At 36.9% G+C, this 17,676-nt stretch overlaps 1 protein-coding gene across 1 annotated transcript in view, besides 1 other annotated feature; it reads left to right on the top strand.

The window, feature by feature from the left end:
* The window catches only part of HAO1 (hydroxyacid oxidase 1), a 57,474-nt gene continuing 39,798 nt past the window's right edge, over positions 1–17,676 (top strand). The window contains exons 1-2 of the mRNA NM_017545.3: positions 1–173; positions 5,824–5,975. Of these exons, the coding sequence (NP_060015.1) occupies positions 37–173; positions 5,824–5,975 (289 nt within the window). The 5' untranslated portion in view covers positions 1–36. The remainder of the gene's footprint in view (positions 174–5,823; positions 5,976–17,676) is intronic.
* Positions 5,035–5,084: an enhancer, noted in NCBI's record as "active region_17535". NCBI's record gives its function as "activates an Ori minimal core promoter by ATAC-STARR-seq in GM12878 lymphoblastoid cells {active_cell/tissue: GM12878}" and the evidence as "EXISTENCE:reporter gene assay evidence [ECO:0000049][PMID:35858748]".

Raw genomic sequence — 17,676 nt, 5'->3', positions numbered from 1 at the left:
AACGAACTCCATCTGGGATAGCAATAACCTGTGAAAATGCTCCCCCGGCTAATTTGTATCAATGATTATGAACAACATGCTAAATCAGTACTTCCAAAGTCTATATATGACTATTACAGGTCTGGGGCAAATGATGAAGAAACTTTGGCTGATAATATTGCAGCATTTTCCAGGTAAGAAAATTTATTTTTTAAAATCATGTTTTAAAATTACACAAAGACCGTACCAAAATAAGATCTCCTAGTTTTACGTTGGTGGTGTGTAATTATTTGTTCAGATTTGTGCTTAGTAGAGAGGGAAAAGTTCTTGGGGCTGTAAGAAATCTTGGGCCTTTAAATTGTTAAAAAATATTCCAAGCCTGTGAATCTTGAGGAACTGACTGCAAAAGCCAAACCTATGTTACTTCACTTGGAAATATGACAACAATTAATTTAACTACATGTAAAAATAGCGATAAATTCGGATGACTTTTCTTTTTCTTAGTATGACAGTAAATGCTTATGTTCATGGTGTAGGAAACAGCATTAAATGCCAGATAACCATCTTATCCGGATGAACCAGACTGGATTGTTGGCTCAAATGTTTTCTTCCTGCTGGCTTTTCGTGTTATCATTCATTTTGATTACTGTTGTCTAAACTTTCACTTTAGATTTCAATTTGTCTATGCAGCATTAATCTTTCAACTTTGCTGTTTCATCTCTCCTTCAAAGCACTTCATCTCTCTTCCCAAATTAGTTTTCCTTTGACTTTCATATTTCAAAGCACAAGATGGTGGGTGACATGGTTTATGTTTTCTGTTTGTAATAAAAACAAGAAATAAAATCATTTCAAAGGGTTTTTTTTTATAGCAGTTACAAAAATGGTTTATTTGCTGGAGCAAGAGAGGAGTGCCTTCACTACACTACACTCAGTCTCATCCATCTAACATTATGGCTGTTAGTAAAGGCAATCGGTATTGTGGGTACTCATTGATGGTGATAAAGACAAAAAGGCAGAAAATATGCAGGGGGAGAGAATTAGCCTTCCTCCCTGATTTCTTCTTTAGTCTACAACAAAATCACTCAAAATCAGTTTTCCATATTTAAATTAGGAGAAATAAAATTATCCTGGCCAAGGTGGTCTCTGGTAGGCAGCACTGATTCACCCACAAATCCATGTAGAAGACTGAAAATGGCAATGGGGTGAAGGATACGGCCTCTCCCCAACCCTTTCAAGCCTTGACTTTGTCTCAGGTTTTGCCTGGAACCCAAATGAGCTCAACAAATGCCAGGGAAGTCATGGGAAGGGAAGTTGACTGAGAGTAGAGGGGCTTAAAATTCTGCATCATTATTTACTATTTTGGACTCATTTAAAAGTTTCTGCTCTTGGAAGATGCCCCTTCTTGGGCCGATATTAACTTTGTCCACCAAAATTTGCCTATGAGTGGTCTCTTGAAAACACTTTAACCCAAATAGGTTATTACAACCAAGGAAATTTCAGACCCTTGACAGATTTATAGAGTTAGTGTCTCAGCATTGCTAGACCTCCAATGCTCAAGTGATTATTTATTTCATTTGTATACAGCTTTCCTTACTTCTTAATTCCCTTTGTCGCATGCTAGCTAATTAACTAGAGCTAATTAGGAGTCTCCATGAGCTACACTGTGTACTACATGCTGAGGACAAAGCAGTGAGCCAGACAAAGTTCCTGTCCCTAGGAACTTACATTCCCCTGGATGCATATCAGCCTCCATAATGCTGTTGGGTTGAATTGATGCAAAATGGGCCCAAAATAGTTGGCCAAGTGGAGGTCTCAGAGAGGATGCAAAGGGGCGCCCCAAAGCAGATGGATCACCTATGCAACCCTTTAAAATGTAGAAACTTTGGGAGACATAGAAGGCTTGGTGACTTCTAAGTTATGAACTGGAAAAGTGCCTCATGCCTTATGTGAATTACATGGTATTCAAGTGAGTATTCCCATCCTATGTGTGTACCGAGTAACTTAGGGATAGGACACAGATAATGAAAATGAATTTGCAGTGTCACCTTTTCCATGAACCTTGATCATTCTCTTTTGTTCAGCTTTAAATTAAAAAAAAAAATCAATCAACTTTCTTTGGAGGACAGCTGATGCTATTTTATTATCAACTAGTTGAGTTTTTATTGCAATACATTTTGCAATGTGTCCTCTTTTGCTGTATGACTCGCTAGGTGAACCTTGATTCCTCACACTGCATCATGTAGCTGGTCACGTGAAACTAAGAATAGAAATTCTGCCAGGGTTGTGGAGACTTTGGGTTGATGGCATGAAGGAAATCAACCTGAAATTTCACATTCTGATTCTAATGAAAAGTGCAAAACAATCAAACCTCAGATAACCCATTGTGATACAAAGCCAGAGTATTTCAAACACATTTATGAAATTTATACACCTCCCCATCTCGCAAGTACAACAAAAGGTCATTCACCGTGACAGCTTTTATTTCTCTGTACTCAGCTCTGATAATCACATTTTGGAGTTCTGGGGACATGGACCACTCATGTGACCCAGCAGTTGCTTGGAGATATTTTTGGGTAAGACTTCAGACTAATATTACTGTGGCAGTAGAAAAAAATGTTTAAAAGGACAAGTAAATGGAACCACCCAGAACAAAATTTCTTACGGTGGTTATAACAAAACAGGGTAAATGTCAACTTGCTACATTTTGCATGGCTGGAATTGATTGGGATTAATTCAACGAAGAACAGTAATTTGTTTCTCTTACACATTTATTCAAAGTAGCCTTCTCAACTATGGTCTTCACGTTGTTGTAGCTTTTTTTTCTGAAATTATCAATGATGGAAGATGATTAAACAATTTCGACACTTAGAAGCCCTCATGATTTCAGAAAAGGAAACTCTTTTCTGCTGCGTTACCTATTGAGACTGAAGATGGCATCATTTTCTTTTAAATAACAGATGGGTAAAAGTGATGTCATTCTTTCACTTTAATATTTGAGAAGTGATATGAAGTTACCAGTGACATTGTGTTCTCATAGGCATAAATGTCACAAAATAATTTATCTAGTATCCACAATAGGTGAATAAGGTGTTTTTGCTTTATATATTTTAACTGTTTAGAGTAAAAAATTAATGTGGAGAAAATTGGAATGCAGTATTATAGGATTACACAACTTACAAAACATGAATCCACTATGTCCAGTTAGTGTGATTCAGAAACAGCATGCAGTTATAAAGCTGGGTGAGGCATGGGTGTCTTCCTTCAACAGGGCAGCTACTTTGTGAGGAGTGTATATATCATTTGATTTTTTTATAAGTTAAATTTGAGGCCCCTGTTAGATGTGAGGGTGGGCCAAAATTCCTGTGAACAGATTCTCCCCGTTACCCCGCTTCCTTTACTCTGGCATCTCATTTTCTATCCTTTGAAAACGGTTTATTATTCAATTGGTTCAACTGTTTGCCAGTTGAACCAATTCTTTTTCCAAAGTGGAGGCCCAGGAAAGCACAGTCCGAGAATATAGTGAGGTGCTATTTTATGTATGATTGTGGGAAATTTACTTAAATTTGGAGTGGGGTTGGGCAAGGCTTGGAAAGCTAGTGAGCTATCTGACATAGTTGTTACTACTATTTGAAAAATATCAAAACATGGAGGACTCTTTAGATAACATGCCTGTTCCCATTCCATTGATTTTATCTAATTTTACGTAGCAATTACGTTTTGTGCATTGGTTGACAAGCCTCTGTATTATCCTCAGAACAGAAAATACTGTTTAAGGGAAATTAAGAGCCCGCAGTTACTAAAGTGACTGCGCCACCAAGTGGACAAGTGTAAAGCCACTGTCTGGAGATGGAAGGATTCAGCTTTGCTTTATAAATGGGAATTTGACCTTTAAAAATGTCCCTTTTGGCACGCACGCGCGCGCGCGCGCGCGAACACACACACACACACACACACACACACACACACACACACACACGGCTGCTGCCCTGCAGATTTGCTTGTTCTTGTCATAAAGCTTTCATTGTTTCTCTAGCTCTAAGTAAATATTAATGCCTTCCAAGGCTGGCATGCCAATGGCTGCTATTAAGATCGTTTTCTCTCATTCTAATAACACACTTAGAGATGATTGGTAATAAAAACTCTCTTCAAGGCTTCTGCTTCTCCCCCTTCAAAATGGAGATCAAAGAATCATGCTGTGAGGGTCCGTCAAGAAGAAAAGACTTTCAGCAACAGAGCATGTGGTGTGGCATAAAATAATGACAATTATAATGTTCAAAGGAATAGCATAGAAATCACACAGTAAAACTTCTTTATTATGCTTTTCAGGGACTGGATGTTTTTACTTTATTATGTGAGGAAGGGTTAGATTACAGACCCTTAGCTATTCCACAAAGCAATAGAAGGCAGAATTTCTTCTTCCGCTACAGGAAGCACGCTTCGATTAAGGGCTTTTTCTTTTTCTTCTTTTTTTTTCTTTAAGTTACTGCATTACTATATCATACTTCACTATATTTACTAAAAAGTCATGCTGTTTCTGGAAGTAGAGTTACATCTAGGAAATACTAGGTGAATGCTGGTTAGATATGCATGTGTGCCTAAACAACACGTTTATTATACTCATGCATACTAGAAATAGGGCTGTATTTTCTTCAATTTTAATCAGTACTAATGAGAATAATAAATCAAAACAAATAGGAGAGATATATTTTGCCAGGAGGAAAGAGAACTAGTTCTTCTGTAAATTTTACTGGTGAATTTTTGGTTGCTGGTTTATTGGTAATTTTCATTCCAACACAGAAGAATCACAGAAACATTCATTTAAAATAATTTTCCGGAGTCAAAAACTTTTTAACACCCAAATTTCAGTTTTTGTCAAATAACATTTTTGAGAAAAGTGTTAAATTAAACTAATAAAAAACCTTCCCTCATCATTAGACTTTAATGAATATGGCATATAACTAAATAATTTTGAAGAAACCAAATTATAATTTTAAAAGTAATTGCCTGAAGCTGCTGTTTATCACATAAAAAGAAGACAAACTAGACATAGCATATCTTCTTAAACTCTAATCTAAACTCTATGCATTTGTATACCATCTTGATTTTCAAGATTGGGGAAGTGAAACGAAAACTATGTTCACACAAGAACCTGTACGTGAATGTTTGTAGTGGCTTTATTTAGAATTTCCCCCCAAACTGTAAGTATTCAAAATGTCTTTTAGCTTGGGAATGACTGGACAAATGATAGTACCCCTGTATGATGGAATATTATTCATCAACCAAAAGGAACAAACTATTGACACGTACAACAACATGAGAAAATCTCTAATGCGTTATGTTAAGTGAAAGAAGCCAAACTCAAAAGGCTACATACTGAATGATTTTGTTTACATGATATTCTTGCAAAGCAAAATTATCAGGACAAAGAAAAAATGCATCAGTGGTTGTCAGGGGATTGAACTGGGGAGAGTTTCTCTGCAAAAGAAAATGGGGACTTTTTTGGGAATGATTGAACTTTTTCTAGATCTTGATTGTCATGGCAGTTACACCACTGTATGCATTTGTCAAAATTCACAAAACTGCAGACTAAAATGAGTGAATACTATTATGTATTAGTTATACTTTAATAAATAATTGCTTGGGAAATTCATTATCCTCTAATTGTTAACTTTCTAACCAAACAAACAGTAAAATTGCCTCTTTTCCATTAGCTTTATGAAGTCATTTGCTTGTTTGGAAAAAATCCAATTATATTTTTTCTTTTAACTAAAATGTAATGTCAAAGTTTTGGTTATGATTCTGAAACTCTAAAGCCTTTTATTTTATTTTATTTTTTAATTCTAGATGGAAGCTGTATCCAAGGATGCTCCGGAATGTTGCTGAAACAGATCTGTCGACTTCTGTTTTAGGACAGAGGGTCAGCATGCCAATATGTGTGGGGGCTACGGCCATGCAGCGCATGGCTCATGTGGACGGCGAGCTTGCCACTGTGAGAGGTAGGAGGAAGATTGTCACCACAGGGACAGAAGGAGGCTAACGTTTATCGACCTCCTTCTCTGAATGCACCAAGCAAATATGTTCCTTGATGTTTTTACACTCAGAAACATTAAGCTCATGGACTCTATCATCAAAATACTTGTTCTTGCATGTCCTGCTCCTCTTCTTTCCAGCTGTGTGACTGGGCAAGATATCCTCTCTCTGCATTGGTTTCCTTGGCTGTAAAATAGGGACAAAAATTGTACCTGCCTCATTGGGTTATGGTGAGAATTGAATGAGTTCAGGTATACAAAGTTCATGGCAGAGAGTAGGGGCTCAGTAACTGTTGGTTATATTATGGGTATTAATAGTACTGTCTCAGGAAATGGATCTCTGACAGGTAGACTTGCCCAAAGTCACAGCTAGGTAGTTACAGAATTGGAATTCAGCCCTGTGGCTACCTTATCTCAAAACCCTCCTGCTTCCCCCAAACCAAAGTGGTTCTCACAGCCAAATTGCAAATGGAGCAACGTGGTTGGTTGTGTTTTCTTCCGTGGTTTTGGGTCATGATTCTTTTTTATGGATGAGTTATATTCCCAATAGAGCAGTTCCAGCTGTCTTAGGAGGGAGTGATGAGAAAATCAAATATGATGTAAAGAAATCTCTTATTAGGGCTAATTTATTAACTTTCCAGTTCTCTAGCAACTGTGAACATTTGAAAGGCTGTGCAGAGTAAAAAATCTCCCCAAATTGTGCTCCAGAAACTAATATAAAAGTTGGAAATGAATTATTTTGATGCTAAGCAGAGCAGAAAAAGAACACGACTATATAATATTTTAAAACATTTTAGTTTTAAGAATTAAGGATCTTGTGAATTCACTTCCCTTCTTGAAATGTCTGACATAAAATTCTGTCAGGGATATCAGAATGGCACAATGAGGTTTTGCTGGACAGACTTAGCAGCTTCCTTAATTCTAGGACCACATACAAATAAGTGGCTTTGGGGCCTCAGCCTTTTGTCTATGGTAATCCTGAAACATAAGTAGAGAGAAGAAAAAAAAAGGGAAATACTAAATGGGTAAATATCTATACAAAATCAAGATAATAAAGGCCCTTTCAGGCTTGAAACTATAGGCAACAACCTTAGAACAAAAGAAAACAAATGAACATCAAAAAACTAAAACTTTAGTGCTCTTAAATCTCAATGAAAATAAAAAGTAAATGGTAAACTGAAAGAAATGGAAAAAAAATATGAGACTGTGAAGGGTTAATGTCCTTTCCACGTAAAAAGCCCTTATATTTGAAGAAGAAAATAATATATTGCTCAAAGGGAAAAAGAGAAATAAGTGAACAAAAGATATAAATAGGAAATTTACAAATGGAGACATAAAAGTGACCAATAAACATATGAAAAATATTCAATTTCATTAATAAGCAAAGACATGGAAATTATGACCATCTATTTTATTTTCCGTATATCGAATTTTTATTTTAAGATCAGGCAGTATGATTAGGTTAGGGAGAAAATGTGCATTTCAAACAGTGTTGAGAAAAGTATAAAGTGGAATAATCTTCCTAGAAAATAATCTGGCACTGTATATCAAAGCTCTAAAAATGTAAATTCCATGTGATGTTAAAAATTCTCTTCTAGGAATTCCAAGGAAATAATTATGATTTTTGAGGAAAAAAATCATTTCTGCAAGGATTTTCATGCTTCTTATTTTTAGCAGGAAAATAATTTGAAAAAAATACCCAAACATCTTATAATTGGAGATAGTTTGCAAAAAATATGATGCATAAAAATGACATCAAATTTAAAAATTATACTATAGGAAGAGTGCAATAATGTAGAATGATATTTTAATTTAAAATTGTGAGAAATCAGTTGCAAACAATAGTCAGGTCCTAAAATACATTTAGTTTCAAAGATCACAATTTACAAATGTTTATTTATAAGTGATGAGATTACTCCTGACTTTATACTCTTCTGATTTTTGGCTCAACCTTATAAACTCTTCTTTGAATTATTTTGTAAGGAGGAAATGATAACAATTAGATTTAAAAGAGTAGAGATAAAGGGACAAGGGACCATGAAGAGAATGGAAATAAAGAAAGGAAGCAGAGAAAGCAAAAAGCAGAGCTCACTTGGTAAGGCACCCTGGAGCCAGCAAATTATTTTTACCACATGTATTAGTTCCTTCTCACACTGATTTAAAGATACTCTTCGAGACTGGGTAATTTATTAAGGAAAGAGGTTTAACTGACTCACAGTTCTACATGGCTGGGGAGGCCTCAGGAAACTTACAATCATGGTGGAAGGCAAAGGGGAAGGAACGACCTTCTTCCCATGGTGGCAGGAGAGAGAAGTGCAAGCAGGGAAATGCCAGATACTTATAAAACCATCTGATCTCATGAGAACTCACCCACTATCATGAGAACAGCATGGGGGAAACCACCCCCATGATCCAATCACCTCCCACTAGGTCTTTCCCTCAACACCTGGGATTATAATTCAAGATGAGATTTGGATGGAGAAACAAAGCCTAACCATACCAACACATATTGCTTTATTTGATATTTGACAGGTGTTTCTGTCCCTGTTTTGTGGGCAAGTAGCTAAAGTTCCAGAGAAAACAGTTTTTCATAGCTCGTCAATGACAGACTTATTCTCCAAGTCACATTTGATGGTTCCAAGACCAGTCTTTATTCTTGGTGGAGTTGGGCTGAGAAGAAAGAGGAGAAGAAAGAAGAAAAGAAAGCTTCCTTAGAAACTATGATTTGACAGTGTAAGTAGGACTATTTCCTCCAGAAGTAACCATAAGAAGATATTAAATGCCTATTACAGTCTTATCCCCTTAGATTTATTTAACACTTATAAAGCAATTATCATGTTCCAGACACTATTTTAAGTATATTACGAGTATTATAGCATTGAAGGCTCAGAGCGGCCCAAATAAATCGATCATATTATTAAACCTATTTTACACAGGAGAAACTGAGGTACACGCCAGGTGAATAACCTTGCCTAGGGATGCACAATTCATAAGTGATAGAGATGGGATTCAGACAGAGGTATTCTGTCTCCAGAATCTGGGCTCCTCACCACTTTGCAAGAGCTTTAATTTCAGAAACTCCTATGAAGTGTCATGAGGAGAAGCCCATTATGATCCCCTAGAAGTAATTATAGTTTTAGGAGCATGCAAAGCAGACCCCTCAGGAAGATAAGTTACACAATAGACATTTGGATAAGGTGGATCCAGCAGAACAAAGAGAGGGTGGTGACATCGAGATTGCAGAGGAATTGGAGAAGGCAATGGAAGTGTACACATGTTGCCCTCAAAAACATAGGGTCCTCCATTGGGTTCCTATCAGGGCAGCAACATCAGAGTTTCTATTCTGTATTTATACTAGAAACCTCTCTCCAGGGTTTCTAAGTTTTCACCTATGTTTTAAAGACTATCTATAGGTTATTAGTCTATTTAATATTTAGGTGTATCCAGAAAGCTGATGGTCATCAGCTCATAGCAGGTGTTCTTTGGCTGGTGTGTTTATGTTGTGGGACAGTGGGTTACTTGCAAGGAAAGGATGAATGGCTGGAGTAGATGGTGCTTGTGCTCTGCATGTATTCCCTTCTTACTTCCCATTTCCATCAGACCTACCACTTTTTGCCTGACATTATCTGTTGCAACATGAGCCCATGGATAGGTGTGTTTGAAGTAGGGGAATGGGAGAGAGGGTTCCCTAGCTAATGATGTACAGCAGTAGGTGGATAAATACCTCAGCTCTCTTTGCTCAGGTAACTGAAGCATTTTCTAATATGGTCACCCAGTGTTCCTTGGAAGGATTGAGTCCCAGTTGCCCCCTGAGGTTGCCTGCCCATGAACACACCCTCTTTTATTGGCTTCCTTCCCATTCTTTTCTCACTTCCCCATTCCTTCAATTCATTGAGATTGTTTCCAAATAAGATGACTTGCTCTCACATCTCTGTGTCATTTTTGGCTTCTTGAAGTATGCAAACCAGGATAATAGCTAACTGAAGGCTATAGATAGCCACAGGCAAATTTAAGTAACAGTGTAAGAATATTCATACTTGGCAGAGATTTATTTATAAAAACTCAGAAAATTCACATGGAATTATGAAGTTATTATTGTATTTATTCCATCATTCCCAGAAAGAATATGGAAATCCTCTCAAGCAAGCCAGTCCTTGGGAATATTGGGAAATCTATGCAATTTGTTGTGGAGTATTTTTTTTTTTGTTACCCTCCTAAATATCTGGCCGCTAAGCATTCCTGTCTCCAGGGACTTAGACCCTAGCAAGGAAGAGAAGTTGGGGCCAGGTTCAGAAAACGGGTTAGTTATCAATCTCCCTGGAGAAGTGTCCCCCTCAGCAGGGTCAGTGAGAGTAAGTGAAACCCATTGGTGCCCACAGGCAATGGTCTGGCCTGAGTAATTAGAATGGGCCTCCAGAAAGTTCTGGGAATTGCTATGGTGCCATAGTCTCATTTTCCCCGTTGACTCTCCAGATTTATTCAGAGTCCAACTTCAAGGGCCTTTCTGCCCTTCCTCTCACAACTGTGGAATAATAATAATCCACCTTATTAACTGGGACCGAGAACTGAGCTCGACTCTTATTTTTTTGAGACAGAGTCTTGCTCTGTCACCAGACTGGAGTGCAGTGGCACTATCTCAGCTCACTGCAACCTCTGCCTCCCAGGTTCAAGCGATTCCCCTGCCTCAGCCTCCTGGGTAGCTAGGACTATAGGCACGCACCGCGACGGCTGGCTAATTTTTTGTATTTTAGTATAGACAGGGTTTCACCATGTTGGCCAGGATGGTCTTGATCTCCTGACCTCATGATCTGCCTGCCTTGGCCTCCCAAAGTGCTGGGATTACATGCGTGAGCCACCGCGCCCTGTCTGAACTCTACTTTTTTACACTGCTGCATGTTTGTAGAGTGACCAATGAAGCTATACTTTTTTCATTTTCAAAATGATGATGAATACAAGGTTATCAAATAAAACACAGAGGGCCCATTATGTTTGAATTTCAGATAAACAACAAATCATAGGTGTCCTGTATGTTTGCTCAATCTGGCAACCCTGGATGAATAAGAGCTCTCACCTGAGGATTTCTTGTGAGGATTCATGAAATAAATGCTAGAAATGCTTACACACTATCTTTATTTGCCCCTCAGAGCCCAAAGTCTCTGAAATCTTTATCTTTCACACACAAAAACTCACTTTCAGAAAAGTATATTCCATTTACATCTAGTGGAAATAAAAATTGTTCTTTTTCTTTGTGAAAAATATTTTTATTTTAAGCTTTATGCAGAAACCTCAGGGAAAAAAAGGTACTTTTAGGAGCCAGGCTTGTAATGTAAATGTCCAAAAAAGATGAAATTGAAACAAACAAACAAACAAACAAACAAACAAACAAACAAAAAACAGTGCAAGCTCCTGTGTGGAGACTGCAGTGAGTCTGAGATTGCATGTTCCATCAGAAGGGGGCAGCCACATCTTAGCTCTTGATGACCCAAGGGAGCAGGGATGTGGGGTTGCCAAATCTTCCAAAATTTTAAGAAGCCAGAAATCTTGATTTCTATGTACAATCTCCTGGTTTTTAAATGTGGGCAAATAAATCAAAATTCCCTAAAACACTGTTTGGGGCAACAATGTGTGGGCCAAAGTAAATACTTTTGTGGGCTACAAGTGTCCCCTAGGCTGTACATCTGGGACATCTGATTTATGTGGAAATTTACCGAGAACTAGTTTTATTTCTGTGGCAGGTCATTTTCACTTTCTAGGATTATGTTTCTTCATTGATAAAGTGAGCTACTTGAGCAAGACCAGTGGATTGAATGCCACGTCCCAAGGAGGCTGGGGTTGTTTCCAGGGATCTTACAGAACTTAGGTGTGATACTGAGCATGAGCTACTTGTGTTGCATTTTGGTGTTCAAAAGAAAAGTTCTTTAAATAGTTCTGCTGGAAAGACAAAAAAAAAAAAAAGAAAAAACTTTCACAACAAAAATCTCCAAAAACAAAAACCCAGAAAACTGGCATAGAAGTGGATGATCTTTGCAATTTTTTTCAGTATATAAATAAATGATTTTGATCCCATTTAAAATTTTATCAAATGCAAAAAGAAACAATTCAAAGTATAGAGCTACCTTTTCTTACTCTACTGAAATCTACACTTTATGTCAGCCCTGGAGGGTTTAGACGCACTTTATGTCAGCCCACTTCTTTCGACTGCACTATGTCAGCCTTGGAGGGTTTAGATGAGGCAGTGAGCATTTGAATGCTTTTAATTTCCATTTTTCAAAGTACATTCTTGGTCTATAGGAGAGGAACAAGATATGTAACTATCTCTGACTATTGCTAAAAACACAAACGTCTTTAATAAATGTTGCATAAACTCAGAAAGTGATACTTCAAAGTCTTGTGAAAAATGATGATCACCAGCATTTATACAGCAATTAGTATGTGCCACGCAATTTGACTTTATTATTTATTCATCTATCTTTACCACCATCTTAAAATATGTGAGTGCAAAACCCTGAGAAACTTTCTCCAACTCCTGTGGGTGTGGAAATCGAGGCTTAGAGAGGTTAATGCTTTGCTCAGATTATTAATCACTTAGGCAGTGCTACCTATAATATCCTGCTCTGTTACTGGTATTTCCAAACGTCATTAACTGTAGCAAGAATCCTAAGGCAAGCACTATGCTATCATCTTAAAATATTTATTGCAAACATCCTATGTTTTATTGTTTTATCTTTTTAACTTTGAGAAGATAAAATAAGCCACAGAAGTGAAATTAATTGGGAAATCATTCGCTTTTTGCAAAATTTGGGAGCATAAACAATGGGTCATGAATTACAATCAAACAAAAGATAAAATTCTAAGAAGTCTTTTAAAGTGGAAAAAAATAACTGAAAAATACTGAATGGAGGGCAGTTTTTCATGCACTGTGTTACGAATAAAAAATTTGATTCAATGGATTACTTAATCAACATTTTAATAGTTGTAAATCTTATAATATTTAAGCTGTTTTATAAGTGCCTCTACTTATAATGGCACATCCGTTTGAAACTCTAGCAGATCATTTTTATTTATTTTTTTGAATTTTTTTCTTTATATTCTTTAAAGAAGGATACAAAATTATTTCTATGAATATTTAACATATGGAAGGAAATAGCAATAATAAACATAAATGCTAACACATATAAAATAGGTGGTATCATTAGGCTAAATTTTAGTCTTCCAGGATAAGTAGAACATCTCTGACTTCTCAAATATCCAATTAATAAAATGCTTACTATACCATTTGGTGCTTTAAGAACATTGCCATGGAAACCTCTCAGGTTTTATGCACAGTAGCTATAATAAAATTTTCCTTCATCTTTCATGGAGCTACTTGAGATTTTTTTTCTCCCTTTAAACATGAGAAATCAAAAAGAAAGAGAAAAGAAGGATTAAATATTCATTTATCCTTTTGCTTCTGACTTGTTATGTGGGCAAGTGCCACATGAGGGAGTGCTGGGACCTCATATCAAGAAAAATTAAAACCTACCTAATGCGTTCCAGGAATGTTCAGCATATTAGCAAATTCTTATTAAACTGTCAAAAAAAAAAAAAGTTTTAAAAGAAATTCCAGCCCCTGGATGCAATTAGAGGCTACCACACTGGATTTGATGGGCCATAAAACCATTAAATCTAAACACTTTCTTTTTGAGCCTAAAAGGCCAGAACATTCCAAAGTGAAGTTTTGGGACTCAGCTATGACTTGACCACCTATTAAGATGCAGGTGGAACAGATTGCAGAGTAACACAAAGAGCCACACAGACCCCAGATGACTGCATTAGGGTGTAGGTGAGAGTTTTAGCTGTTGAATTTTCTGGATTTTCCAAGATTAAGTGATCAACCTTAACAATGAGTGAAAGACCATTCAACAGGAAGAATTGTCATTTCCTTTGCTCTAAACCCAAACGATGTATTTTTTGAAAGCTTTATTGATTTATATATTTATGTGTTGTGCTAGGCGACCGACTAGATATATGTTTCAGCATACCTACTAGGAAAATATCCCCATTATTCTCAATTTTACCTAATCCAGGCAAAGCACTGGACTTGCTTTAAGGAACATTTTTACTCTTTCTGAAGTGGAGTGCCTGTCATGTATCAGGTGCAATGCTTGGACTTTACGTTCTTGTGATTAATCCTTACAATAGGCCTGTGAAGTAATTCTCATTCTGTTTGACAGTAGAGAAGAAGGAAGCCCTTGACCAAGGTCTAGTGCCAGTAATGGTGGTGATGGGGTTTGAACCTAAGTCTGTTTCACTCTAAAGTGTAACCAAATTTTATGTTTTAGACTTGCTTTTCTAACAATAAAAAGTCAGTGACATGCTCTTTCTGTGTGTAAGCACTCACACACACACACACAAACACACATCCGTATTACATATGCTTATATATGTATTAAAAGATTATGGACATTTGATATATATACATATACTAAAATGTATAATTCATTGCTAAAGTATTTTCATATAAATAGTGGCTTCAGTGTTAAAATCACTTTGCAATGAAACAAGATTGTTGATTAAAACACCTATTAAAAAATTAGAATCTAGCCATATTAAAGACAGTCATCGAATGGAGTGATTTCTACGATTTTGCACCAAAATTTAAGCTATTGGGTGGCTTTCTTGAGAGCATGAGATTGCTTCTTCTCAGAATTATTAATGTGCCTGATGACATTAAAATGTGACAGTGAAAAAAGTCAGAGGCTCACATGTGTATCCCAACACTGAAGTTGTTAAACACTGGGAGGTTGGTTGAAGTTGTTGTGTGCAAACTCAATACTCCTTAAAACCATTATTTAAAGGCCTATCACTGTGTTATGGTCTCCATATGATCTGCCATTTATGCCAGGACTTGACAATTCAGTAAAATGACAGAATAATAACACAGGAATCACTGCAGTAGAGCTAATGTTTTAGTCTGTTGCAGAGTTCTGCCCTAGAAATACAGTGAAAACAAGGAAGGGAGAGCTAAGATGTCCCTGAGACTAATTGTTCCTTGAAAATATTTTCATAAGTAAAAAAGAGGTCTAGAGGTGTAGTGGCAGTGTGATCACTCAAGATTATATAGCTCCGGATTCGTTCAATGGGCCATGATGAAAGCACGGCAACGATTAAATCTGGTTTCTTGGTCTTTCTTGGCAGTGTTTAAATTGGTTCAGTTCCATAAATTGTAAATTAAGATCTGTTTGACAACTTTTAAGTATTTCAAGCATAATTGTAGTTGAAGGTTTGTTCTTTTAGATCACTGACTTCAGAACTTTATTTTTCTGGTTAATCTCAATTGTAATTTTAGACATTCATAAAACAATGTTGACTGCGTCTATGTGATGGTAGATCCTCTGTGAAGACCTTTATGATGGTAGTTCCCCTGTGAAGATAGGATGACACACTCAATGGACATTATGGTGCACAGTTATACAAACACTTCACTATGACAGGCCCTGAGTTTAGAACCACACAACTGCTTGGTACTTGGTCATCGCATATTTTCCCCATTACGTAATGACTTCCTGTGCAGATGACAAAATGCGTTTTCTCAACAAAATTATTTTCAGTGCAGCTGTTTTGATGACTAAGTTTTGTAGGAGCTTTTTAATCAAATGCACCTAAGAAAACCCCAACACTTTAGGCCCTTTGAACATATTACACTTTTTTGCTTCCTCTTTCCTCTTTTTCCTTAAAACCATAATTTGGAAATTTGATTCTGCCTTCCCATAAAAGAGAATTATTTTCAAAGAAATTATTTGGGTCTAAATTAACATGTTACTTAATTGTTCTGCTTGAATCTAGGTATATGATTAGTCCCATATGAATTGATGTTCCAAATAATTTACTCTCATTGATAACTAATATTTTCTATTTCCCTCTATTGTTTTGTGGTGGTGGTGGTGGCTGTGGATGAACATCATTCTCAAATATATTATAATTCCCTTCCTCATCAAGCCCAGCATGATAAACTTCAGTTTTGCCTGATGGTTCATCATCTTATTTCTGTGTGTAAGATTGTTGGATTTGACATTAAACATTTGGAAACTATTTTATAATTGATAACTTGTGCTTTCTCAGCTTTGAGTAAGCGCTCTCTTCTTCATCTTATACCATTTTATTTTTATTTATTATTCACTTCTGCTTCTGATCTGAGATCTAGGAAGCTGGACAAATCCCAGATAAGCAAGCTAAACAAACAAACAACAACAACAACAACAACAACAACAACAACACAACCCAAACTAAACCAAACCAAAATCATGGGATAATGGTTAAGTGTACTGAGGGGCCATTATGCGAACACAGTTTAATTCCTTGGCTTTAAAACTAATAAGAGAAGAATACATAAACAAATGTGGCAAATGTACCTGTGACCCTCTCCAGAGGGTGCCAGGCTAGAAGAAAGGCAGATTTATCAGCAAGGCATGGCGGGCCATTGGCAAACCATGGGACAACCACTACCAACTTCACTGCCATTGCTCCATATTTCCCTCCCGTTTTCAATGAGCCCCAACTTTGCTCAGGACATCACACATATTCTACTAATTTGGATGAGTCCTTTTGAAAGAAAATATCTACCTCATGGTTCTCAAAGTATGGTCCTTGGAACATCAGCGTCAGCAGGACTCTGGAGCTTGTTAGAAATGCAGATCTTAGGTCGCACTACAGACCTACTGAGTCAGAATCTGAATTTTGTTAACATACCCATGTGATTCCTCAAAGATTGAGAAGCCCTGATCAGAGCCTGGGATGAAAGTTCCTGTTGGTTCCAAGCCAAAGGCATAGTTCAGGTCTTCACACATGACACTATTAGATGTAGATGGATATTGTTCCCTTCTGAAGACCCTCAAGGTCTTCTGAGAGCCTATTAAGTTCAGAATGACTGCCTGAAATGAGTGAGAAGTCACAAGGAGACTCTAGATAATTAAGAGATGTGTTCACAGTAGTCTTTGATAAAAACCTGGGACAGGCAGGCTTAGTATGCAGGCCCCTAAAATTTATGTACACAATGGATTTCCTATTTTTGCTTCTTCACATCCAGATTACCTGGATCAGAAATAAATGTTTTCATTAAGACTTGATGTGACAAACAAACAAAACAAAACTCTGCCAAGCTCTAGAAGAACAATTGCATTTCCCAGCCAGAGGGAGAACACTGCCAGTTTTTGCTGTTTTCCAAAGCTGTTTACCTGTCCTAGCTCATTTAAATCACTGTACTTTGGAGTTCCGGATTAGCGTCCCCAGAGGTAGCTGCATTCATACTTGATGAGTTCTTTTAAATCTCAGCCATTGATTGTAGGTTCCATAGTATAGGAAATTTAGCCAACCCTCTATTGAATGGCAGTTTAGAAAGGTCGAGCTACACTTACCTTATGTCAGGTTATTGCAGACCCTTGTGGCATTTTTCCACCCTAGGACATGTGATTTAACTCTAATAGAAATCTTTATTATGGGTGGGTCTGAGATTAACTTTTATTCTATAAAACAGAAATCATGCCACTGGCCGTAGCCCATTTTTTGAGATGGAGTGGGGGGAATGGATGATAGTAAACAAGGATATTAATCTCATTTATTTTTATATCATTATATTTATAGTTACATTGCAAATGGAAGAGTAGAGAAACCAAAAACTTACACTGGGAAC

Source organism: Homo sapiens, chromosome 20 (genome assembly GCF_000001405.40).
Source record: "Homo sapiens chromosome 20, GRCh38.p14 Primary Assembly".
In the NCBI taxonomy this organism is placed as follows: Eukaryota; Metazoa; Chordata; class Mammalia; order Primates; family Hominidae; genus Homo; species Homo sapiens.
The sequence above is the reverse complement of the archived record's forward strand: the minus strand, read 5'-3'. Positions and strand labels throughout refer to the sequence as shown.